General features: G+C 42.0%; 1 protein-coding gene across 7 annotated transcripts in view, besides 1 other annotated feature; it reads left to right on the forward strand.

The window, feature by feature from the left end:
- Positions 1-27256, forward strand: part of ZNF391 (zinc finger protein 391) — a 29294-nt gene extending 2038 nt beyond the window's left edge. For 2 of the 7 annotated variants that reach the window (XM_006715086.3, XM_011514569.2), the window contains exons 2-3: positions 22790-22898; positions 23641-27256. In XM_006715086.3, coding sequence (XP_006715149.1) covers positions 23719-24795 — 1077 coding nt within the window. In that variant the 5' untranslated portion in view covers positions 22790-22898; positions 23641-23718 and the 3' untranslated portion in view covers positions 24796-27256. Of the gene's footprint in view, positions 1-12106; positions 12424-18364; positions 18444-20781; positions 20925-22789; positions 22899-23640 lie in introns of those variants that run through there. The other 5 variants (NM_001322289.2, NM_001322288.2, NM_001076781.3 and 2 more) reach the window with 5 other exon arrangements.
- Positions 1652-2180: an enhancer, noted in NCBI's record as "OCT4-NANOG hESC enhancer chr6:27346083-27346611 (GRCh37/hg19 assembly coordinates)". NCBI's record gives its function as "activates a minimal SCP1, AML or CMV promoter by ChIP-STARR-seq in naive H9 embryonic stem cells {active_cell/tissue: H9 hESC(naive)}" and the evidence as "EXISTENCE:reporter gene assay evidence [ECO:0000049][PMID:30033119]".

Raw genomic sequence — 27318 nt, forward strand, 5'->3', positions numbered from 1 at the left:
CAAGACCAGCCTGGCCAACATGGTGAAACCCCATCTCTACTAAAAATACAAAAAAATTAGCTAGATGTAATGGCGAGCCGCTTGAAGCTACTCCGGCGGCTGAGGCAGGAGAATTGCTTGAACCCAGGAGGTGGAGGTTGCAGTGAGCCGAGATTGCGCCACTGCACTCCAGCCTGGGCGACAAAGCAAGACTCCCTCTCAAAATAAATAAATAAATAATAAAATACGTACACATTCTTGTGAAGTTTGTAAAACTAGGTATTTGGGTGCCTCCTGCCTTGAGATTATTCCTAAGTGGCTCCTTCCACCCATTGTTATGAATATTAAATGAGTTAATAATGTAATGGTTGTGAGAACACAACCTGGCAAGTGACACAAGGAGCATCTAAAGGGAATTGTCAACAACTGAGTCAGATGGAACTGAGAATTAAGTACCTAGAACCTCAGTGCTCCAAAACGAAAAATTGCCATGAGGATTCAAATAAAGCAGGATTGGAAAAATATAAACAATTCAATCTGGAAAATTAAAAATTAGAAAATCATTGTCAAATAAACTAGGCAAGATTAATGAAAGACTAGTAGAAAGCAGAAACCTCCTGTAGCTTCTCATTGGAAACAACAGAGGAGACAATTAACCAGAACTCCGACCACAAGGCCAATTTGATGCAACTTGGTGTTGTCAGTCTCATTAACCATTTAGTGCTGTGAAAGGAAAATATCTTGTGCCCCCAATATCACTAAGGAAAACTCAAGCTGGAAACTGCTTAGGGCAAACCTGCTTCCCATTCTATTCAAAGTCACCCCTCTGCTCACTGAGATAGATGCATATCTAATTTGCCTCCTTTGGAAAGGCTAATCAGAAACTCAAAAAATGTAACTGTTTATGTAACACTTACCTGTAACCTGGAAGCTCCCTCCCAGCTTCATGTCTTCCTGACTTTGCTTCAAGTTGTCCTACCTTTCCAGACCGAACCAATGTACTTCTCAAATATATTCATTGATGTCTCATGTCTCCCTAAAATATATAAAACCTAGCTGTGCCCTGACCACCTTGGGTACATGTCATCAGGACTTCCTGAGACTGTGCCACTGGCACATCCTCAACCTTGGAAAAAAATTTTCTAAATTAACTGAGACCTGTCTCAGATTTTCTGGGTTCGCAGTGTTTAATAGCTATCTTAGTCCAAGAAGAAATTCAGTGGTTCCTGCTTTAAGTTCACAACCTTCAATGATGCAGCAAGAGATGGAAAAATATATATACACATATATGTGTGTGTAACGTGTATATGTATATTTGTGTGTGTGTTTACATATATAGAGAAAAATAAATGCTACTGAATTTGGATCTGGATCCTATAGATTTACAAACTTCACAAGACTGTGTACATGTTTTAAAGAAAAATATTGCATAATCTGAAGAAGAAATAATATTGAATGGTCTATTTATATAACTTGTTTCCAAATATTTTAATTGATGTATAACTTTGAAGTATACAGGTGGGTTTTAACGAATATATGTTCCTGAGTAAAAACCACCCCCAGTCATCATATAGAACATTTGTTTCTTCCCATAAAGTTCCCTGGCACCCCTTTTTAGTCAATTTCACTCACGTCAGTGTGAAGAGACCACTAAACAGGCTTTGTGTGAGCAATAAAGCTTTTTAAATCACCTGGGTGCAGGTGGGCTGAGTCCAAAAAGAGAGTCAGCGAAGGGAGATAGGGGTGGGGCCGTTTTATAAGATTTGGGTAGGTAAAGGAAAATTACAGTCAAAGGGGGATTGTTCTCTGGTGAGCAGGGGTGGGGGTCACAAGGTGCTCAGTGGGGGAGATTTTTGAGCCAGGATGAGCCAGGAGAAGGAATTTCACAAGGTAATGTCATCAGTTAAGGCAAGGACCGGCTATTTTCACTTCTTTTGTGGTGGAATGCCGTCAGTTAAGGCAGGAACAGGCCATTTAAATATCACTTCTTTTGTGATTCTTCAGTTACTTCAGGCCATCTGCATGTATACGTGCAGGTCACAGGGGATGCGATGGCTTAGCTTGGGCTCAGAGGCCTGACAGTCAATATTCCTGTATATAACATTTTAGTGATTTCCTATTAAGTATATCAAATAAGAACATTTTTATTAAAAATGTATTTGAAGCTGTGCATGGTGGCATGTGCCTATGGTCCCAGCTATTTGGAAGGATCTCTTTAGCCTATGGGTTTGAAGGTGCAGTGAGCTATAACTGTGCCACTGCACTCTAGCCTGGGTGACAAGAGCACAACTCTGTCTCTAAAAAAAAAAAAAGTGTATATTCCTCTCTCTATATTCATATGAATCATAGATTCTACAATGAAAATTTATGTTGTAGTTTATTTGAACCCTTGCTCTTGGTATTTGTAACAACTGATTTTGCAAATGAAAACCAGCATTACTGACCTTTACATACTCAAACTGCTTCACATGCCAGTTGTTACAGCTGTGCTAAAACTACAAGGTCATTAACCCAACAATAGATGAAATGAAATTTTATTTGTATTTTCCATTTATTGTCACTGTAAATTTTATTTGTATTTTCCATTTATTGTCACCTAAAGTAGAGAGAAATAATTTCAGTATATTATTGCTATGTCTGTTTGGTGGTGTTACACTTGTTGCAGTGCCATATAATTTGGAGTATACTTTGTTAGACTTGAACTTACACTGATTAACAGTCACCTAAAACTAAACAAAAATAAATATAAAGGGAAGAGCACAGTATTTTTTGTGATGGGAAAGCAGAATAAATCAAGTTTTCCAGTTCTACCATATTTAGGTCATTTCTCTTCCTCCTATGTTGTAGGTATCTCAAGGAAACTGATTTATCCTTATCTTACCTTTTAATCTAAAGCCCAGTCAGTCTTTTAAAATGACATGATCTCACTTAATGTGAATAACTACGATTAAAAAACTCCAGGAGAACCCAGTCACCAGGGGACCCCCCCCCATACTTTTGTGAGTTTTACCTCCAGGAATTCAGCAAAATGAGTATCAGAGAAAATTCCTCTCATGCTTCTAGCAGAGGGAATGAGAAAAGGAACCATTTTGAAATATGCCACAGCATTCTGTACTTCTCAACAAGGTCAGCCCTCAAAAACAATCTATTTAACCAGAGCCTAACCTGCTGGGCTTTTATCAGGGCCTAACAGACCTTAGGAAATGGAAATACCCAACTTCAGTCATCTCTAGCCTCCCACATGGAAGAAAGGAAATACCCAACTCTAACCCACTCTAGTCATCCTGTCCCACCAAAGGGGGTAGGGGAAACTGAGAAAGGTGTGAAGTTCCCAATCCAGAGATATAGTCTTGACCAAAAGACTGAGACCTACTCAGAGAACTATAGAATGCTTCCCCTTCCCCTATACCTTGATACCACATTTCTAAAGGCATAGGGATGGTTGCTTGAGCCCAGGAGTTAAAGACCAGTCTGGGCAACATAGTAAGATCTCGTCCATGCAGAAAAATTAGTCAGGTAGAGTGATATGTGCCTATAGTCCTAGTGTGTCTGGAATTGGTGGGTTCTTGGTCTCACTGACTTCAAGAACGAAGCCGCGGACACTCGCGGTGAGTATTACAGGCCGCGTGCCTGGAGTTTGTTCCTTCTGATGTTCCAATGAATTGGGAGTTTCCTCCTTCTAGTGGGTGCATAGCCTGGCGGCTCAGGAGTGAAGCTGCAGACCTTCGCGGTGAGTATTACAGCTCTTAAGGCAGCACGTCTAGAGTTGTTCGTTTCTCCCGGTGGGTTCGTGGTCTCGCTGGCTTCAAGAGTGAAGCTGCAGACCTTCGCGGTGAGTTTTGTAGCTCACAAAGACAGTATGGACCCAAAGAGTGAGCAACAAGATTTAATGCAAACAGTGAAACAACAAACTTCTACAGTGTGGAAGGGGTTGCCACTGCTGGCTCGGGCAGCCTGCTTTTATTCTGTTATCTGGCCCCACCCACATCCTGCTGATTGGTAGAGCCAAGTGGTCTGTTTTGACAGGGCGCTTTTTGGTGCGTTTGCAATCCCTGAGCTAGACACAAAGGTTCTCCACGTCCCCACCAGATTAGCTAGATACAGAGGGTTGACACAAAGGTTCTCCACGTCCCCACCAGATTAGCTAGATACAGAGGGTTGACACAAAGGTTCTCCAAGGCCCCACCTGAGTAGCTAGATACAGAGTGTCGATTGGTGCATTCACAAACCCTGAGCTAGACACAGGGTGCTGATTGGTATGTTTACAAACCTTGAGTTAGATACAGAGTGCCCATTGGTGTATTTACAATCCCTGAGCTAGACATAAAGGTTCTCCACGTCCCCACCAGACTCAGGGGCCCAGCTGGCTTCATCCAGTGGATCCCGCACCAGGGCTGCAAGTGGAGCTGCCTGCCAGTCCCGCGCCGTGCGCCCACACTCTTCAGCCCTTGGGTGGTTGATGGGACTGGGCACCGTGGAGCAGGGGGCGGCGCTCATCGGGGAGGCTTGGGCCGCACAGGAGCCCACGGAGGGGGTGGGAGGCTCAGGCATGGTGGGCTGCAGGTCCCGAGGCCTGCGCCGCGGGAAGGCAGCTAAGGCCCGGCGAGAAATCGAGCGCAGCGCCGGTGGGCTAGCACTGCTGGGGGACCCAGTACACCTTCCGCAGCCGCTGGCCCGGGTGCTAAGCCCCTCATTGCCCGGGGCCGGCAGGTGCTCCGAGTGCGGGGCCCACCAAGCCCACGCCCAACCGGAACTCCAGCTGGCCCCCAAGCACCGCGCGCAGCCCCAGTTCCCGCTCGCGCTTCTCCCTCCACACCTACCCGCAAGCTGAGGGAGCCGGCTCCGGCCTTGGCCAGCCCAGAAAGGGGCTCCCACAGTGCAGCGGCGGGCTGAAGGGCTCCTCAAGTGCCGCCAAAGTGGGAGCCCAGGCAGAGGAGGCGCCGAGAGCGAGCGAGGGCTGTGAGGACTGCCAGCATGCTGTCACCTCTCACTAGCTACTTAGGAGGCTGAGGTGGGAGGATTGCTTGACCCAGGAGGAGGAGGCTGCAGTGAGCCATGACCGTGCCACTGCCCTGCAGCCTGAGTGACAGAGCAAAACTCTGTCTCAAAAAAAGTTTTAGGCAGGGCGTGGTGGCTCACACCTGTAGTCCCATCACTTTAGGAGGCCAAGACAGGCAGATCACCTGAGGTCAGAAGTTTGAGACCAGCCTGGCCAACATGGTGAAACCTTGTCTCTACTAAAAATACAAAAATTAGCCAGGCTGTGGTGGCATGTGCCTGTAATCCCAGCTACTCGGGAGGCTGAGGCAGGAGAATTGCTTGAACCTGGAAGGCGGAGGTTGCAGCGAGCCGAGATCGGGGCCGCTGCACTCCAGCCTGGGCAACAGAGCAAGACTCCATCTCAAAAAAAAAAAAAAAAGGCCGGCTGCGTTGGCTCACGCCTGTAATCCCAGACTTTGGGAGGCCAAGGCAAGCAGATCACCTGAGATCAGGAGTTCGAGAGGAACCTGGCCAACATGGTGAAACCCCGTCTCTGCTAAAAATACCAAAAATCAGCCGGGTGTAGTGATGGGCGCCAGTAATCCCAGCTGCCTAGGAGGCTGATTTATCACTATAGGAGGCTGAGACAGGAGAATCGCTTGAACCCGGGAGGCGGAGGTTGCAGTGAGCTGAGACAGCGCCATTGCACTCCAGCCTGGGCAACAAGAGGGAAACTCCGTCTCAAAAAATAAATAAATAAATACAGAAGTTTTTAAAAAGTGGTCTATTTACAGCAGTTCTTTTACTCAGCACAGCATTTCCATATATCAAGAAAATACAAGAAAATACGAAAAAGGCACAAAATGAAACAAAACAAATACAAATACACACAGACAGTTTGAAGAGGAAGAACAAGCATCGGAACCAGACTCACATATGGTGGGGATGTTAGAATTCTCATACCAGAAATTTGAAACAATGATGATTAAGATGATTAAGATGCTGAAGTCTCTGATGGGTAAAGTAGACACCATACAAGAATAGATAGGTAATGTTAGCACAGAGATATAAATTATAAGAACCAGAAAGAAATGCTAGAGATCAAAAGCACTGCAACAGAAATGAAAATGATTTTGATGGCCTTATTGGTAGACTAGACATGGCGGAAAAAAAGAATCTCTGATCTTGCTGTTTATCCCAATAGAAAGCATCAAAATTGAAAAGCAGGCTGAGCACGGTGGCTCATACTTGTAATCCCAGCACTTTGGGAGGCCAAGGTGGGCAGATCACTTGGGGTCAGGAGGTCAAGACCAGCCTGGCCAACATGGTAAAACCCCATCTCTACCAAAAATACAAAAATTAGCTGGGCATGGTGGTGCATGCCTGTAGTCCCAGCTACTCAGGAGGCTGAGGCAGGAGAAGCGCTTGAACACAGGAAGCAGAGGTTGCACCGAGCCGAGATTGTGCCACTGTATTCCAGCCTGGGCAACAGAGCCAGACCCTGTCTCAAAAAAAAACCAAAACACAAAATTGAAAAGCAAAGAGAACAAATTCTGAAAAAAGAGAATATTTAAGGACTGGGACAACTACAAAAAGTATAACATATGTATAATAGGAATACCAAAAAAAGAAGAAAGACACCGAGAGAGACAAAGACAGGGGGTGGGGAAGGAAGGAATAAAGAAAGAGTAAAAATATTTGAAACAGTAATGACTGAGAATTCTCCCAAATTAATGTCAGATATCAAACCACAGATCAAAGTGGCTTAGAGAACACTGAGCAAAATAAATGCCCAAAAAACTACACCTAGTGGCTTGGTCAATTTGAGTCACTATAACAAATTCTCATAGACAAGGTGCCTTATTAACAAAAGAAATTTATTTCTTATACCTCTGGGTTCTGAAAGTCTGAGATCAGGGTGACAACATATTTGGATTTGGGTGAGGGCCCTCTTCTGGGTTGCAGACTGCCAAACTCTTGTATCTTCACATAGTGGAGAGCAGAGAAAGGAAATAAGCTCTCTCATGACTCTTATAAGGGCACTAATCCTATTAATGAGGGCCCCACCCACATGGCCTCATCTAATCCTAGTTACTTCCTAAAGGCCTCATCTCCTAATAATATCACATTGAGGGGTAGGGTTTCAACTTATAAATTTTGGGGAGACACAAACATTTAGTCCAGAACACCTAGGGATAACATTTTTAAGCTACAGAAAATCGAAATTAAAGAAAAATCCTGGAAGAAGTCATACAGGGGAAAAAACAGCTTATATATAGAGGAGTAAAGATAAGATTTACATCTGACTTCTCAGAAACCATGCAAACAAGAAGAGAGTGGAGTGAAATATTTAAATGTTTAGAGATTAAAAACCACCTATTAGAATTCTATACTCTGGAAAAATCATCCTTCAAAAGTTGAGGAAAAATAAAGACTCTCTCAGAGAAACAAAAGTTTAAGGAATTTGTTGCCAGTAGACTTGTCTTGCATGAAATGTTAATATAACTTCTTTAGGGAGAAGGACAATAACAGAAGTTAAAACTTGGAAATATATATACATAAAGAACATGGGCTGGGTGTGGTGGCTCAAGCCTGTAATCCCAGCACTTTGGGAGGCTGAGGTGGGCAGATCACTTGAGGCCAGGAGTTCGAGACCAGCCTGGCCAACATGGTGAAACCCTGTCTCTACTAAAAATACAAAAATTAGCCTGGTTTGGTGGTACATGCCTGTAATCCCAGCTACTCAGGAGGCAGAGGCACAAGAATTGCTTGAACCTGGGAAGTGAAGGTTGCAGTGAGCCAAGATCACACCACTGCACTCCAGCCTGGGCAACAGAGTGAGACTCTATCTCAAAAAAAAAAAAAAAAAAAAGAGAGAGAGAGAGAGAGAATGAATAAGTAAAGGTAAAATAAAAGCATTTTTCTTATTGTTAGTTGATGTACTACAGCCAATTTTTAATTGACCTAAAAGTTTGCTCAAAATAATAACAATAATGTATTTACTCAATGATATATATATTCAATTACATATACACACACTGTTATGTATTCTTCTGTATGTGCAAAATGAGTGACAGCAATGAACCAAGGAACAGAAAGAAAAAATTAGAATTATTTTGTTATTGGCCAGGTGCTGTGGCTCATGCCTGTAATCCCAGCACTTTGGGAGGCCGAGGCAGGCAGACCACCTGAGGTCAGGAGTTCGAGACCAGCCTGGCCAACATGGCAAAACCCCATCTCTACTAAAAGTACAAAAATTAGCCGGGCATGTTGGCGGGTGCCTGTAATCTCAGCTACTTAGGAGGCTGAGGTAGGAGAAGCCTGAACACGGGAGGTGGAGGTTGCAGTGAGCCAAGATCGCGCCACTGCACTCCAACCTGGGCAACAAGAGTGAGACTCCATCTCAAAAAAAAAAAAAAAGATTTTTTTTATTATAAGGTACTTGCCATACTACCCATGAAGCTTTATAGTGTTATTTGAGAGTGGACTCAGATTAGTTGTAAATATATATTGCAAACTCTAGATTAACCACTTAGAAAAAAGAAGTGTAACTAATATGCTAATAAAAAAGAAAAATAAAATCATATAAAGGGTTCAATTAAAACAAAAAAAGTCAGAAAAAGTGGTAGACAAAAATAAGAACAAGAACAAAGGCAACAAATAGAAAACAGTTAAGCGTAGTAGATATTAATCCAACTATATCAATAATACTTTCAACATCAGTGGTCTAAATGCACCATTTTAAGGCAGAGATTGTGAAGAAATAATATATGTTGTCTACAAGAAACTCACTTTAAAGATAAAGATACATATAGATTAAAAGTAAATCAATAAAGTTATACCATACTAACACTAATCAAAAGAAAGCAGAAGTAGCTACATTAATTTCAGACAGAGCAGACTTCAAAGCAAGGAGAGCTATCAGGGATAAAAAAGGGAATTATGTAATGAGAAAAGGGTTCTCTAAGAAGACATAATCCTTAATATGTATGCACCTAAAAACAGACTTTCAAAATACATGAGGCAAAAACTGATAGAACTTCAAGAAGGAAGAGATGCATCTACTATCACAGAAATCTCAAAAATTCTTTATCAGAAATGGGCAGATCCAGGAAGCAGAAAATCAGTAAGGATATAGTTGAAATCAACAACATCATCAATCAACTAGATATAATGGCCATCTATAGACTTCATCCAAGAACAGCAGAATACTCTTTCTTCTCAAACTCACATGGAACATTAATCAATATAGACCATGTTCTGGGCTGTAAAACATAACTTAACAAATTTAAAAGAATAGAAATCATACAATGATTTATCTCAGATGACATTAGAGTTAACTAGAAATCAATAACAGAAAGATCATTGGAAAATCTCCCACATACTTGGAGATTAAGCAATACACTTCTAAATAATACATGGGTCAAAGAAGAAATGCCAAGAGCAATTAAAAGATACTTCAAACTACATGAAAATGAAAACACAACTTATCAAAATTTATAGAATGCTGTGAAAGCAGTGCTTAGGGGGAATTTATGGCAATGAATATATACATATTAGAAATAGCATAAAAATACCTAGGAATAAATTTAACCAAGGAAGTGAAAGACCTGTATGCTGAATACTGCAATTGCTTAAAGAAATTAAAGAAGACCTAAATAATTGGAAAGACATCCCATGTTCATGGGTTGGAAGACTAACTACTGATAAGATGATAATACAATTTGATATACAGATTCAATGTATTCCTTATAAAAATTTCAACATTTGTTTGCAGAAATAGAAAATCCCATCCTAAAATTCACATGGAAAATCAAATTACCCTGAATAACCAATGAAAACCTTGGAGAAAAGAATAAAGTTTAAAGACACATACTTCATAATTTCAAAACTTTACACAAGCCTACAGTAACCTAAAGAGTGTGGTGCTGGAATAAGAATAGGAATATAGACCAATAAAATAGAAAAGAGAGCCCAGAAATAAACCTCACATATACGGTTGATTGATTGATTTTCAACAAGTGCCAAGACCATTCAATGGGAAATGGACAGTATTTTCAACAAATGGTGCTGGGAAAACTGGATATCCAAATGCAAAATAATAAAGTTGTAGTATTTACACCATCTACAAAAATTAACCCAAAATGGATCAAGGACCTAAATTTAAGAAGCAAAACTATAAAACTCTTAGCAGAAAACATAAAAATCTTTATTAGACAATGTAATTTTCAAGTATTGCACAGGTGATAAAAATAAATAAATGGAGCTTCATCAAAATTAAAAAGTTTTATGCATCAAAGGACACTATCAAAAGAGAGAAAAACTTCACAGACTGGGAGAAAATATTTGCAAATCATATCTGAAGAAGAATATCTGGAATATACAAAAACTCATGCAACACAACAAAACCTAATTCAAAAATAGGCAAAGGATTTGAACAGACATTTCTCCAAAGAAGACACACAAATAAGTACATGACAAGATGCTCAACATCACTAGCCATTAGGGAAATGCAAATTAAAGCCACAATGAGATAAAGCTTATACCCATTATGATGGTTATAATACTACAACTACAACAAAACAGAAGTTAACAAGTGTTAGCAAAGATGTGGAGAACTAGAACCCTCCTGCACTGCTGATGGGAATGTAAAACGATGCAGCCATTATGGAAAACAGTTTGATGGTTCCTCTAGAAAGCTGATTGCAGAGTTACCATATGATATAGCAATTCAATGCCTAGGTGTATACCCAAAGAATTGAAAACAGTGACTCAGATACTTGTACACCAATGTTCACAGCAGCATTATTCACAATGGCCAAAAGGCAGGAACCACCCAAGTGTTCAACAAGAGATTAATGGATAAACAAAATATTATGTATGTATATTTATACACTGTTTGTGTATAAACACACACATATACACGAAGGAATATTATTTAGCCATTAAAAGGCATGAAGGATACATGCTGCAGTATGAATGAACCTTGAAAACTTTATGCTAATTAAAAATAATCCAGACATAAATAGACAAATATTGTATTATTTTACTTATATGGCATATCTAGAACAGGCAAATTCATAGAAACATAGTGTAAAATAAAGGTTACCAGGGACTGTGGGGAGCAGGGAATAGAGACTGCTCAATGGGCATCTTTAGGGATGACGAAAATGTTCTAGAATTAGATAGTGACGGTGCTGTTGTGAATACGCTAAAAACTTTACTGTATGACTTTAAAATGGTAACTTTAATGTTGTGCATAGTTTACCACAGTTTGAAAGTGTTTTTAATTTTTAAAAATAGGAAATGATAAAATTAGACTTTATCTAATTCTTTCCAGCTTTATAATTTGGATCCTGCTCCTTTGTACTTCATGGCTCATGCTTTATACTTACTTGATGTTTCTATGGTACTTGTGCACAGCTGTCATGTATCAGACCTGCAGTTTTGCACATGCTTTCCACTCTTCTAGTTCCTCAACTATTTGTAAGGTTGCCCTCCTTTATGTTTTCCATTAAATCTTCCATTAGTCAAACCACTCCAGTGTCCCTCGTTCCATAAGTTTCCCCTGCTCTGAACTCCCAGGGCACATTGTGCAACTTCATTACCTTATATTAAAATTATCTGGAATTTTAAAAAATCTACTAGATTAGGGTAGTGTCCTGATTTTATTCATTTTTTTCTTTTGGTGAAATTTGAGACATGTCTTGCATTTAACAGTATTTAAGCAACTAGATTGTGCAACGGAGCCAGTTTCTCCAGACAGGCTGGAGAGACCACTTGCATCAGAATCATCTGGGGTGCCCCTTGAAAATGCAATGTTCCGGGCCAACGAGTCAATCTCGGAGTGTAAATCTTGTGAAGCTGTATTTTAACAAGCTCACTTGGTGATTTATTTGTGTACGCTATTTAAAACTCTGTGAACCACCGGTCTAGGCTATACTTTGCAGTGTATTAAGGTGGTCTTCGGCACCTCTCGCAGACCCCCTTCCTCTTGCCTCTAGCGCCAACCTCTCAGCCTCTCGCATACCAGGGGAGGGGCTTTGCAAAACCTTCCACGAAAGTGAATCCCAGCACAGCCCTGCTGTAGCTGGCTCTCAGGCGCAAGCGCAGAGCTGCGACCGCTGCTGATACGTTGCTCAGTCTCAGTGTGGTCTCTGTTTTGCAACTGGTCGTCCGCGTCAGGAGACTTAGGTCCAGGCGACTGCCCAGACAATGACTGGTCCCGCATACCGAGCAGAGCATGATCAGCAGCAGTCTGAGTGGAAGAGTGCCTGTGATCTTAGGGAACCTGATGGGCGTTGGAGCAGCGGTTCGACGCATGGGTTTCTCTTTAATCCTTCCGACTTCCCCAAGCCCAGCGCACTCAGGTTCCGCTCCAAGTGCGGGACCCGCCCGGGGTGTGTCGGGGGTACTCGGCCGGAGGCGGCCGGTGAGTGAGGCTTACAGGGCCCCGGGACCAAGGTGGGTGCTCTTAGAGGTTCTGGAAAGCGGAAACACGGGTTCTTCGAAGGAAACGGGCGAAAGGGTCGCGTGTGGTTTGGCTGCAGGTCGGGTCAGGAGGCACCTCCACGGTTGGGACGCCGCGTGGCGTGGGGTCATGAAGCCCCCAGCGCTCGTCTCACTGGCGGGCCAGCCTAGTCCCTCTGCGGCAGTGACAGCCAGTGGTTTTCCCCGGGTGTATCCCTGGGAGATGAAAAAGAGCAGGGTTGCTCCCTGCTTCCCCTCTAGCTGGGCGAGGGAGGTCTTCGGTACTGGGGTGTTTCCCAGGTGCTTACTGAGTGCAGGCACTGCTCCAAGAGTTTTTACCTGCATTAACTCATTTAATCCTTGCATCAACCCTATGAAGTAATGTACTATTATTATGCCCATGTTACAGATAAGGAAATTGAGGCACACAGAGATGAAGTACTTGCTTGGCCGGGCGCAGTGGCTCACGCCTGTAATCCCAGCACTTTGGGAGGCCAAGGCGGGCGGATCACCTGAGGTCGAGACCAGCCTGGCCAATACGGTGAAACCCGTTCTCTACTAAAAATACAAAAATTAGGTGGGAGTGGTGGCGCGCGCCTGTAATCCCTGCTACTCGGGAGGCTGAGGCAGGAGAATCACTTGTACCCGGGAGGCAGAGGTTGGAGCGAGCAGAGACCACGCCACTGCACTCCAGCGTAGGCAACAAGAGTGAAACTCCGCGCCCCTCCCCCCCAAAAAAGAGAAGTACTTGCTTGAGTGCCAGTCCTTAGTTTATGTTTCTGATGATGAAGGTTGGTACTTGAATAAAGTAGTTGTTAATTATTTGTTGTGGGTGTATTGACAGTTACTGTGGATCATTGAGTTTGTGCTTTATGTGTGAGTTTGTGCTTTGAGCCAATATCTGGGAACATTGTTACCTGAAGATCACCTTTGGTAGGACAAGATTTTCTCTATTCTGTGATTAAACTGAGGCTGCCCAGGCAGTTCTGCTGATTGCTTTGTGGATTGGCAAAGGCTCCAGGAAGCAATCAACCTAGTGCCACAAAACAAAGCACCCAGAGAAGCCCTATTCCTGACCCTTCAAAACCTTCTTCCTTCTGAAGGGGGTAGAAAATAAAGGAGAATTATCCCTGGATCAGGAATTGATTATAGGAGAGACAAGCAATGTCAAAAGAATTTTAGATAATTAGGGTAACTGTGGTGGCCAGCGCTGTTAGTGCTAAAAAGTTTGAGTCACATAAAGGAATAGCAAACCACCAGGTTGGCTAGGGCTGCAGCATGTTGTGACCACTTAAGAGAATAATGATTTTGTAGGGATACAGTATCCAGAGAGCAGTAAGGTGACTCAAATAATGAAAGTATGAGGAAGAAAGGAGAAAAGGAGAGGCAACTTTCCACATTATGGTGGAGGAATCCCTTGGATGGACTCTGGATAAAGGTATAGCCCTAACCTCCTAGCATCTCTGAAATATGTTTGGGGGCTATCCCTGAAACTTTTGTCACATCCGCTAGACTTCCTTTTCCCATCTTACATACATCCTCCAAAGCCAGGAAAAAGAATGCATCTCTCCATGCTCTAGAGCAGCAGCTGCTGAAGGGAGACTCATAAATCCTCTGACAGCATCTTTCCTTAAACATACACCATCACAGTTTTCAAATTCATTGATGTGAGATGAGCACAGCAATAGCATCATCTCCCTTATACTATATATGATATTCTTTATTGTAAATGTTTTGCCATAGTTTAACTTGCAGTATTGATGAAAGTTTTGTAAGAAAAGACAAGCACATGCTAGTAATGGTGTTTTATAATGTGGGACGAGATTTTTCAGAAAAGTGACTTGACCAAGGAAGTGCAGCTGTAAGCAGTGTCATCTGTCTTCTATTTTGACCCTCAGGAAGAAGTAAGGGGACTAGTGCCATAGTGTCTTTGAACTCATACCCCATATGAAGAGAACGTCAAAGAGGCTGGATCACCTAAAGGGTTTAGAGAAAGTTTGGAATTGGCTCAGATCTGTCTTTTATCATAAAAGATGAACTTGAAACCCAGACATAACTGTCCATTGTCATTTTCTTTATATCTGAGAGGAGATGGGATTACTTTGGGGCATTCATTGTACTTTTTTTTTTTTTTTTTTTTGAGACAGAGTTTCGCTCTTGTCGCTCAGGCTGGAGTGCAATGGTACTATCTTGGCTCACTGCAACCTCCGCCTGCTGGGTTCAAGCGATTCTCCTGCCTCAGCCTCCTGAAGTAGCTGGGATTACAGGTGCCCACCACCACGCCCAGCTAATTTTTTTGTATTTTTAGTTGAGACAGGGTTTCCCCATGTTGGCCAGGCTGGTCTTGAAATCCTGACCTCAGGTGATCCACCTGTCTTGGCCTCCCAATCATTACTTCTTAATCCTTAGGGTTGCATTCAACAGGCTAGATGTGGACATTACTAGACAGAGGTTCTGGATGCCTTGGACTATGACCTTTGCCCATTTCTGCCTTTCATTAAAAATAAAACCAAGAGGAGGCAGAAGATGGAAAGGCAACTGTCTACCTCTCCATAAGATCCATATTCCACATGAGTTAAGTATTCTTCCCTCTTTTCTGAACGTGTGTTTCATCATACCAACCAGAGACACATTTATTTCTCTTTTAAAGGAACTTCCGTTCTTAGATGAGTCTGCCAAATTTTGCCAAGGGGACTATTCTTCATTTGCCTGTTGACTGTCCTTAATATCTTCAACACTCCCTCACTCTAATTCATCATTAGATGATTAATGAACACAGGCTTTTTTTTGGCCTATTTCTTGAATGGTTTCATCTGAAACACGGACCTTGAGATCTTACATGTCTCCGAGGATTTGAAAAAGAGTAGATTCATTCTAGTTCTCTCCCCTTAGTCTAAGCAGATGGCTATGTGCCTCAAAGTTTGGGATCTAAAGTTAAACTACTAGGTATCCGATAGCTTTGGACCAATCAAGTCCAGCATCTTCATTTTGCAGGTGAGGAGACATAAAACCAGATTGTTTATTTTTCCCTGGTTTCTATATAGCTACCAATGGAGCTATAACCAAAATCCAGATTACCTAGTCAGTGCCTATAGCTCTGGGCCTCTATCTGATGTTTCCCTGAATTGTGCTGAGGATGCCACTTGCACTTCAGTGGAGGCCAGAGACTTTATTGATTTTATTTTTTTTGAGATGATGGAGTCTTGCTCTGTCGCCCAGGCCAGAGTGCAGTGGTACAGTCTTGGCTCACTGCAACCTCTACCTCCCAGGTTCAAGCAATTCTTCTGCCTCAGCCTCCTGAGTATCTGGCACTACAGGTGTGTGCCACCATGACTGGCTAATTTTTATATTTGTATTAGAGATGGGGTTTCACCATGTTGGGCTAGTCTCGAACTCCTGACCTCAGGTGATCTGCCTACCTCGGCCTCCCAAAGTGCTGGGATTATAGGTATGAGCCAAAGCCAGAGACTTTACTCCATCGGTTACATAGATAGGGCTGTTAGTGAGGCTGAGATTTACTGCAGCCTTTCAGGGACTGGGTCTGGGAGGCAGTCACTCTCTATACCCCTACAGCACTCTGAAGTCAAGATCATGCTGATAACCTTCTGACATCAGTGGAGTTTAGTTTCTTGGCCATTTACAGGCCGCTAAACAGAAAGTGTGATTCAGGCATTCTTTCCCTGTCTGTTGAGAAGCAACACATACTGTATAGTATAATGAGTTTGAATCTAGGATTTATTACTTGGCCTTGTGCCAAATTACTTAACTTCTCTGTACTTCACACTATTTTTTTGTATTGCAGGAATAATAATAATTCCCCTCAGAGTTATTGTGAACAATAAATGAGTCAATATTCATACAATTCTTAGAATAGGCAGGCCCAAAGAAAGACCATTTCTGGAGACTACTTCCAAGTTAGATTCCTTTCACAAGTTCTTTTTTCATTTTTTCTAGGTAGAAAGTTTCCCTAGTGGAGTTTGTATGTGTCTATCATATGTGTCACATGCACAAACACATCTAATGCATAATACAGTTGTATATATAATGAGCTTATTTGAAATGAAAAAACAACTACACTTTGAGACTCTTGCACTGTACAGTATGATATGGCTTGAATATGTGTCTCCACCAAATCTCAAGTTGTATTGTAACCCTGACAATGAGGTGATTGGATCTTACAGATTGATACCTCAGAGCTTGGTGCTGTTCTTGTGATAATGCATAAGTTCTCATGAGATCTGGTTGTGTAAAAGTGTGTGGTACCTCTCCACCTCTTCTCCTGCTTTTGCCATGTGATGTGCCTAATCCCCCTTTGCCTTCCACCATGAGTAAAAGCTCCCTGAGGCCTCCCCAGAAGCTGAGCAGATGCCATCACCATGGTTGTACAGCCTGAAGAACTGTGAGCCAGTTAAACCTATTTTCTTTATAAATTACCCAGCCTCAAGTATTTCTTTATAGCAATGCAAGAATGGCCTAATACAGCAAATTGGTACTGAGGAGCTGGCTTGGCTATAAAGATACTTAAAAATGTGAAAGGAACTTTGGAACTGGGTAACAGGCAGAGGGTGGAAGAGTTTGGAGGGCTCAGAAGATGGGAAGATGAGGGAAAGTTTAGAATTTCTTAGAGACTGGTTAAATGTTTGTGACAAAAATGCTGATAGTGATATGGACAGTGAAGTCCAGGCTGACAAAGTCTCAGATGGCAATGAGGAACTTATTGGGAACTAAAGCAAAGGTCATGTGTGTTATGCCTTAGCAAAGAACTTGGTTGCCTTGTGCCCCTGCCCTAGGGATCTGTGGAAGTTTGCACTTCAGAGTGTTGATTTAGGGTATCTGGCAGAAGAAATTTTTAAGCAGCAAAGGAAGATGTAGCCTGGCTCTTTCTAACAGTCTATCTGTCCTCAGATGTAGAAGCAAAGAAATGATTTAAAGTTGGAAGTTATATTTAAAGGGGAAGCAGAGCATAAAAGTTTGGAAAATTTGCAGAGGAAAGAAAAAAAAAGCTTTTTCAGCAGAGAAATTCAAGCAGGCCATGGAGCAACCACTTGCTATAGAGAGTTGCATAACTAAAAATGAGCCAAGTGCTAATAGTCAAGAAAATAGGAAAAAGGCCTCAAAGGCATTTCAGAAATCTAAGAGGCGATGCCTCCCATCATAGGCTGAGAGGCCCAGGAGGACTTAAGGATTTCAGAGCCAGATCCTGGGTCCCACTGCCCTGCACCACTCCAGGAGGCTGCTCCTAAATCCTGGTTGCTCAGGCTCCAGCCATGGTTCCAATGGGCCCAGGTACAGCTCAGGCTGCTGCTGTGGAGGGTAGAAGCTGTAAGCCTTGGTGGCTTCCATGTGGTGTTAAGCCTGTGGATATGCACAGTGCAAGAGTGAAGGAGGCTTGGAAGCCTCTGCCTAGAGTTAAGAGGATGTATGAGAAGGCCTGGGTGTCCAGGCAGAAGCCTGCTGTAAGGGGCAGAAGCCCCTTTAGAGAACCTCTACTAGGGCAGTCCAGAGGGGAAATGTGGAGTTGGAGGCCCCACACAGGGTCCCCACTGGGGCACTGCCTAGTGGAGCTGTAGGAAGGGGGCCACCATCCAGACCCCAAAATGGCAGATCCACCAGCAGCTTAGACTCTGTGCTTGGAAAAGCCACAGGCATTCAACAACCTGGGAGAGCAGCATGGGGCTGAACTCTGCAAAGCCACAGAAGTGGAACTGCCCAAGGCCTTGGGAACCCACCCCTTGCATCATTGTGCCCTAGATGTGGGACATATAGGAGCTTATTTTGGAGCTTTAAGATTTAATGACTGCCTTGCTGCATTTCAAGCTTGAATGGAGCCTATAGCCCCTTTCTTTTGGCTGATTTCTCCCTTTTACAATGGGAGTGTTTACCCAATGCCTGCACCTCCATTGTATCTTGGAAGTAAATAAATTGTGATTTACAGGTTCATAGGTGGAAGAAATTCATCTCCAGATGAGACTTTGGACTTGGACTTGGGACTTTTGAGTTAATGCCAGAATGATGTAAGACTTTAGGGGACTATTGAGCAGTCCCCTAAAAATACTGATTGTATTTTGCAATGTGAGGACTTGAGACTTGGGGGCCAGGAGCAGAATGATATGGTTTGAGTATATGTCCCCATCAAATCTCATGTTGAATTGTAATCACCAATGTTGGAGGTGAAGCCTGATGGGAGGTGATTGGATGGTGGAGGTAGATCCCTCGTGGCTTGGTGCTGTCCTTGCAATAATGAGTGAGTTCTCATGAGATCTGTTGTGTAAAAGCGTGTCATCTCCCTGCCTGCCTTGCTCCTGCTTTCCCTATGTGATATGCCTGCTCCCCTTTCACCTTCCGTTGTGAGTAAAACCTCCCTGAAGGCTCACCAGAAGCTGAGAAGATGCCAACACCATGCTTTTACAGCCTGCAGAACCGTGAGCGAATTAAACTTCTTTATAAATTACCCATCCTCAGGTATTTCTTTATAGTAATGCAAGAACAGCCTAATACATAGTATATACACATTAGTTGATTATAGATAATCTCATATCAAATTGGCACAGTTTAACAATCATTAAAATATTAATAAGCATGAGAGTGAACTTCAAATTGGCCATATCCAAGAACTCTGTCATAGTTCTTTCTCTTGTCAGGATATTCTGCCTACTTTTAGATATCCTATATTTCAGGGTTCTTCTAGTGAGACAAGTTGCAAAAATCTTCAAATTTTGGATCTCCTTGGTTTCATAATGCCTCCAAAAACTAAATATTTCCTAACAATCTCTCTTCTCCAGAATGGGATATAGTATTTAATAATGTAATAATATTCCACTAAGTACAACATTCCCATTAGTTCTCATATTACCTTATGGCAGTATGGGTATTCTCAAATCTTCAGAGACTTCTGTTGGGGACAAGAACTTTTGCTTTAGTAGCTTTAGAGGCTTTGTAACTTACCTACTGGGAGATGCAGTATTCATCTGTCATGTAATTGTCAATATTTTAGTTCCACTGCACTAGAGAAGTATTTCTCTACCCTTCAGACCTACTATTCCCTTTACTATTCTGAAATAAAATTCATAGATAATACTACCTACCTACCTATGAAATAATTTCAAAAGTATCAATATGTTACCTTAACTATAATATGAAGGAGAAGGAAAAGGAAAGTGATTTATAATCGAATAATATGCATTTCAGCATGTAAATGACTGGATGAAATAGATGCTTACACCTATTAGAATCACTGAATACAACTACAAATGCAGCCTGATTTATGAATTATATTTGTGAATCTAATACCATAAGTGGTTTTATTTCCCTGAAATGGTGAAAAATTCCTAATAACATTGAAACAAAAAAATGTATATTTTGGCTGGACGTGGTGGCTCATGCCTGTAATCCCAGCGCTTTAGGAGGCTGAGGTGGGCAGGTCACTTGAGCCCAAGAGTTTGATGCCAGCCTGGGCAACCTGGTGAAACCCCATCTCTACAAAAAAAATTAAAAGTTAGCCATACATGGTGGTGTGTGCCTGTAGTCCCAGCTACTTAGGAGGCTGAAGTCAGAGGATCACCTGAGCCTGGAGAGGTCAAGGCTGCAGTGAACTGTAATTGTACCGCTGCACTCCAGCCTGGGTGATAGAGTGAGACCCTGTCTCAAAAAAAGAAAGAAAAAAAATGTATATTTCCTTGATTTTCCAATACATATAAAAGCTATGCAAAATACTTTGTATGTATGCATAAAGTGTTACTAGGTTTTAGTTTCAGGTAATTATTAACAACTTTTTTGAAAGTCAGGTAGGATAAATGACAGTTCTTTGTTCTGCAGGAATGTCTATCATCCCTGGCCCCCATTAAATTCTAATAGTACTATCCAATCATTGTGACAACCCAAAATAACCTCACAAATTCTCCAGAGTCTCCCTAGGATGCCATCTTGAGGAGCACTGTAATAAAAGAGAGAGGTTATAGTGAACTGACAATAAAATAATGTGTTAGGCCATTCTTGCATTGCTATGGAAATGAAATACCTGAGACTAGGTAATTTATAGAGAAAATAGATTTAATTGGCTCACAGTTCTGCAGGCTGTGCAAGCATTTCTCCAGCATCTGCTTCTGGTGAGGGCCTCAGGAACTTTCCAATTATGGTGGAAGGTAAAGGGGGAGCAAGCATGTCACATGGTAAGAGCAGGGGCAAGAGACAGCAAGGGAGGGGAGGTCCCAAACTTTTAAGCAACTAAATCTCACATGAACTAACTGAGGAAGAACTCACTTATCACCAAGAGGATGCTGCTAAACCAATCAGGAGGAAACTGCCCCCATGATCCAACCATCTCCCACCAGGCCCCACTTCCAACATTGGGAATCACATTTTTTTCTTTTTTTCAGGGGAGGCTGGGGAGGAATCACATTTCAGCATGAGATTTGGAGGGAACAAATATCTAAACCATATCAAATAACAATGGAGGAGCTTAAGGATCTGAGCTACAAGAATGGAAGCCAGCCAAGGTAGCAGTAAGGCCAATTCCTATTAAGGAATGTTGGCATCATAAAGTATGCAATTGGATCTTTTTTTGTGTGAGACGGAATCTCACTCTGTTGCCCAGGCTGGAGTGCAGCGGTGCGATCTCGGCTCACTGCAACCTCTGCATCCCAGGTTCAAGCAATTCTCCAGCCTCACCCCCCCAAGTAGCTGGGATTACAGGCATGCACCACCATGCCCAACTAATTTTTGTATTTTTAGTAGAGATGGGGTTTCACCATGTTGGCCAGGCTGGTCTCAAACTCCTGACCTCAACTGATCCACCCGCCTCAGCCTCCCAGAGTGTTGGGATTACAGGCATGAGCCACTGCGCCCTCCAGCAATTGGATCTTAATTTGAGATTCTACAATAAGAAATTCTGACTCCTGCATCAACCCAGTAGCAGGGCTTTTTATCTTCCCTGTTTTCAGTTGAAAGCCATGTTCTTGGCAAAGCTGAACACAGACAGCATCATCCTGTTACTTGAGGTTCTCCATGCATGGCTTCTTGGCACATATCCTCCAAGGCTAACCTCCACATCTGAGAGGTCCCAGTCTATGAGAAAGGAAAGATTTTTATGAAGCCAGATTAACTCCCTAATCTCATGGATATCAAATTATGCTGTGAGCAGAAATATTTGGGGAACTGTTATACAGTTCATTGCCTCCTTTAATACACAAGGACTCCAAGTGAATTAACAAGAGGAGGGGTTAAACAAGCTTTAATGAGGAAATTTAGAGTCCAGGGATGGGCAAGAAGAAAAGGCACAGGTTCCCAGATCTTCCTATTTTCCTGACAAAGGCTGCTGGAGCCAGGGTACTCTGCTGGACACTCTGATAGGTTGGTGTTCCAGGAGAGGTCCTTGCTGCCCTGTTGCTCTCCCTTCTTATAATACAAGTGAAAAACAACATTGTCAGTGTGGACATAAACACACTACTTGGTGCCAGGCAATATGAATGTGAGGTGTTTGCTTTTTAAACAAGAGTTGGCCAGGCGCAGTGGCTCACGCCTGTAATCCCAGCACTTTGGGAAGCTGGGGCGGGTGGATCACGAGGTCAGGAGATCGAGACCATCCTGGCTAACACAGTGAAACCCCGTCTCTACTAAAAATACAAAAAACTAGCCGGGGTGTGGTGGCGAGCACCTGTAGTCCCAGCTACTCGGGAGGCTGAGGCAGGAGAATGGTGTGAACCCGGGAGGCGGAGCTTGCAGTGAGCCGAGATCGCGCCATTGCACTCGAGCCTGGGCAACAGAGCGAGACTCCATCTCAAAAAAAACAAAACAAAACAAGAGTCATCTGGGAAAGCTAGCTGTCTAGTACCTGGGAAGCTTGAGATCTTTGGTAAGTTTCAGCCCCTCTGTAGAGAGAAGGGGCCTCCTGTCCTATGGAAAGCTGAGTTTCTGTTTTATACCCGCCTGCTGTGAGAAGAATGTTAGGGGTCAGAAGATAGTCCAAGTTAGCACTTTGTTCAAGCAACCTAGACTGTATTTCTAAGGCTCTTTCTGGACATTCAACTTGTCAAGTCACATGAACGTATTAAAATACAAATGCCTGGGTCCCATCAGACTTGCTGGGTCCAAAGCAAGGTTCAGATATCTGGAGTAACAAGTGTCATAAGTAATTCTGATGTGTATGTGTGTATGTATGTAACCTGTGTGTGTGTATGTAACCCGTCTTTTGGCATCTAATTTTAGTCCCTTTTAGAGACTCATTTTCTCCAGCCCCTCCTGCCATAGACCCTGTGAAAGCTCACGCTACCTTTTCTATAGATAAAAACACTGAGATTGAGCTCTGAATAGCTCTGTGTCTTCAGCACCAGCAGCCTTGTGTTAAATCATTTCTAATCTGCAGGAACCCCAGCATGTTAATTGAACTTGATCACCCAGTTGAAGGAAGAATAATAGTAGATGTTGGATCTTCAGGAAGCTGAAGAGGGCAGTGCCCAGAAATACCTGTCTTGGTGAGTAGTGTCATAAGAAGACCAGCAATTTGATGTTGAGAAGATGAGATCTAGTCCAAGCCCTTGCAATTTGTTGGGTCATGTAGGCAAGTGACTCAATCTGTTTTCTATCTGTCAGATGAGTGGGTTGGCCTAGATGATGTCTAAGTTCTGCTAAATCTCTGATAGTCTAGGACTGTAGACTTCTTTAGAAGAATACCTGAAGTATAATAATTGGAAGAAGGGTTGAGAGGCAAATGGGGATAGCAGTGTGGTCGTTACTATTTCTGAAATTTTTATTCTCTTTCAATCCCAGGAAAATGGTTGCATTCAAACTTGATCAAGTCATCTTTCTTTTTTCCATTTCTTTTTTCTACACTTGAGAGTCTTGATTCTTCTCATCCTTCTCCTTGCTCTCATTTTCCATGATTAATCAACTACCATAATAGGTCATTTTACCTTTTAATCCCCAACTCTCTGTCATCAGCTGGTACACCTGCTCATTTCCATTTGTTTGGGTTAGCATATTACCCAATAACTCTTTCCCTATTTCTTGATGTCTCTGTGTTCACCATGCCCACTGCAAAAATTCTGCCTGTTATCTCTTCTGGCTTTGTTCTCCTCCACTATCCTTTTTTGTTTACTCCTCATATAAAGTTGCTAGTATGCATGAATTCAAATTAGTTGTCTTTTCTCTGCTGGTTTATTTTCTTTGCTCTCCATAGTAGATACAGATGACATTTACACTTTAAATGTCTTTCAGATAGGGGGATTTGAGCTGAACCAAAGCATCAACACCAATCAGACTGTTTCCGAAGAACTAGAGTTTTCTGGGTCAGCAATGGAAAGCCTCAGAGGGAATACTGCTCAGGGTCCTACAAATGAAGAAGACTATAAAAACGAAGGCCAATTATCAAGGCAAACAAAATGTCCTGCACAGAAGAAATCCTCTTTTGAGAACACAGTGGTCAGAAAAGTGTCAGTGACACTCAAAGAAATTTTCACAGGGGAGGAAGGCCCTGAATCCAGTGAATTTAGTCTAAGCCCAAACCTTGACGCACAACAGAAAATTCCAAAGGGACATGGATCCCCAATATCTAGGAAAAACTCCAAAGATAATTCAGACTTAATTAAACACCAAAGACTTTTCTCACAAAGAAAACCTTGTAAATGCAATGAATGTGAAAAAGCCTTTAGTTACCAATCAGACCTTCTTGTACACAGTAGAATTCATGGTGGAGAAAAGCCTTTTGAATGCAACAAATGTGGGAAATCTTTCAGCCGAAGTACACACCTTATTGAACATCAAAGAACTCACACTGGAGAGAAACCTTATGAATGCAATGAATGTGGAAAAGCTTTTAGCCGGAGCACACATCTTAGTCTACATCAGAGAATCCATACTGGAGAAAAACCATATGAATGTAGTGAATGTGGAAAAGCCTTTAGCCGAAGCACTAACCTTAGTCAGCATCAGCGAACTCATACTCAAGAAAGGCCTTACAAATGTAATGAATGTGGGAAAGCCTTCGGTGACCGTTCAACCATAATTCAGCATCAACGAATACACACTGGAGAGAATCCCTATGAATGCAGTAAATGTGGAAAAGCTTTCAGTTGGATCTCATCGCTTACTGAACATCAGAGAACACACACTGGGGAGAACCCCTATGAGTGCAGTGAATGTGGGAAAGTGTTCAGTCGAAGCTCGTCTCTTACAGAACATCAGAGAATCCACAGTGGAGAAAAGCCTCACGAGTGTAGAGTGTGTGGAAAGGGCTTCAGTCGAAGCTCATCCCTTATTATTCATCAGAGAACTCATACCGGGGAGAAGCCGTACAAATGTAATGACTGTGGAAAAGCCTTCTGTCAGAGTTCAACTCTGATCAGACATCAGCACCTTCATACTAAAGAGTAATATCTGAGCTTTTATTAATGTTAGCATAAGAACACATATACCTAACCTCCCACCACTGAAATATATATATTTCAAGTATATATATACTTGTTCTAATTTTCTTTTATTAGATACCTATACCCGTTTTAAGCTTTCATTCGTTCTTTCCATCCATCTATCCTTCTTTCGTCTCCCCTCCCTTCTTCCCTCCTTCCCTCCTTCCTACTTTTTCTCCCTCTCCCTGTTCTTTCTTTCTCTTTTCTCAAATAAGTTCACAATAAAACAAAGGGATGACTCAAAAAACATAACATATGAAATCTAATATTCTGAAGGGCTCCAACTTTAGAGTATAAAGCTATCTGACACCTTGTAGTTTCTCTGCTAATCTATTCCTTCAAGCGTGGGTCCCCGAACCACCAGGTTCTCCTCTGTTTTCTAACCACATCAGCCCCTGCACATGAAGAGAAAATCCTGTGTGTGTGTCTTCATACTTGCTGGCTCTAGTACCAGAAGAGAGGGATCTGGCTTCAGAGCAGGACTGAAAACTTCTCACCAGTCTGGGGATAATAGTGTTGAGGCAAATTCATTCTCTTGACTTGCAAAAACAGATTTTTCTCATCTTCCTCCTTCTCTCACCTTTTTTGCAGTAGCATTTTTCCTCAAAGTACAACTCATTTTTTTACTAACGCCTAACTAATCCTAGTGTTATTTTATCATATTTTTACCAAGAATGTTCTAAAAATCTTGGAGACGTTCCTCCATGATCTTGGGAAAAAAAGTTGCCAAATGCTGTGCTGTTTTTTTTGTTTGTTTTTAATTTTCTTTCATTTACAGATTTCATGAAACTTATATTCTGTGGCTTTGACCCTCACCAATCTTGGAAGATTGATCTCTCAAGGACAAACCCAGTGCCTATTTCTCAGTCCTTTTTCTACTTGACATTTGCAGAATTGGCACTTTTTGCCACTGTTATGCCTTAAATCTTGAGCTTCTTTCAGGATCCATGATTCTGTGCTGATCTACACTTTTCCTACCTCTCAGCATTTCTTTGATTGTCAATGATCAGCTCTGTGATTTGGGGCAAGGGTTAGGCCAGAATTATCTCATTTTATCAAGTTATAAAACTTGAGGTAGTGCAACTAGATTATACACTTCTTGAAGACAGAAATCTTGGTTTGTTTGTTGTTTTATTTTTGAGAGAAGGTCTTGCTGTGTTGCCCAGGCTGGAGTGCAATGGCACAATCATAGCTCACTGTAGCCTTGAACTTCTGGGCTCCTGCCACAGCCTCCTGAGTAGCTAGGGCTGCAAGTGTGTACCACCACACCCACAATTTTAAAGTTTTTTTGTGGAGACAGGATCTCACTATATTGGCAAGGCTGGCCTCCATCTCCTGAACTCAAACAATTCTCCCACCTCGGCTTCCGAAAACACTGACATTACAGGTGTGAGCCACCACACCTGCCAGAAATCTTGTTTTTGATTGATATAAAACATCACAAAGTACTGAGTAGACACTAAATGCTCTGTAATTATTGCTCACTGATTCCTCTTTATCTGTAATCAATCAACTTGACTTTATTTGATATGGATTAATAATTGATTTCTTTCTCTCTTTCTACTGCTGCTTCCAAGTTCTTGGTACCTTGTGCCTAGATTACTAAATTGATCACTGTTGACTCACTACCATTATCTAGCTCCTTACTAAACTACTACTTTGTTAAAAAAAAATAGTCGTTTCCCAGTGACCTCTGCCCCAAATGTAAACTTCTTTAACCTAAAGGTCTTTCATAGTTTGATCTACTTACTTACTTCCTTTCTCTTCTCAAAGATAATACATGCGGGCAGGCCTGTTTTGTCCCTACTATACCCTCTTCTCACACTTTTCTTCTTTTCAAACTGTTCCTTGGCACTTCTACATGTCCTACTTTCTTCGTTGTATTCCAGAAACCCTATCCACCCTTTTTTAAAGGCCATGCTCATATCCTGGCTCTGTGACACTTTCAGTCCCCTGCCTTCTTAGAAATCCTTTGTAGTGATGGTTTGCATTATTCTCCTGTATTAGACACCTTCTTTACTGTTTTCTGGTTCTTTCACAAGTACTTTTTTACATAAGCTGTTTTGAAGTTGTAAATCATCCTAAATCTTTTATAAGCCTCATATAATACATAGTACAATGCCAGCCTGGACTCTAGTTTTAATCTAAATACATAGGGTTTAATTTAGCAGCATAATCTTTTTAGTCTTTTGAATGATGAGGTAACCTCATAGGTATTTTGGCCCATTTTGTTTTTCCTTGAATTACATATATAACTGACTATTTAGACTGACTCCTTTAGATCTCCTGGGATGCTGACCTCTTGGCTTTCCAATTCATGAGACTATTGTAAAGAATAAGTGAGTTCATTCATGTAAAGTAGTAAAACAGTGCCTGACAAAAGTAAATGCTCAATAAATTCTAATTGTTATGATTCTAGTGATTCACATCTGCCTATAGCTTTTTATTTTATTCCCTGCAGAGCCTTTAACTTCATTACTAGAAATGG

The sequence above is a fragment of the Homo sapiens genome, chromosome 6, assembly GCF_000001405.40.
Source record: "Homo sapiens chromosome 6, GRCh38.p14 Primary Assembly".
NCBI lineage: Eukaryota > Metazoa > Chordata > Mammalia > Primates > Hominidae > Homo > Homo sapiens.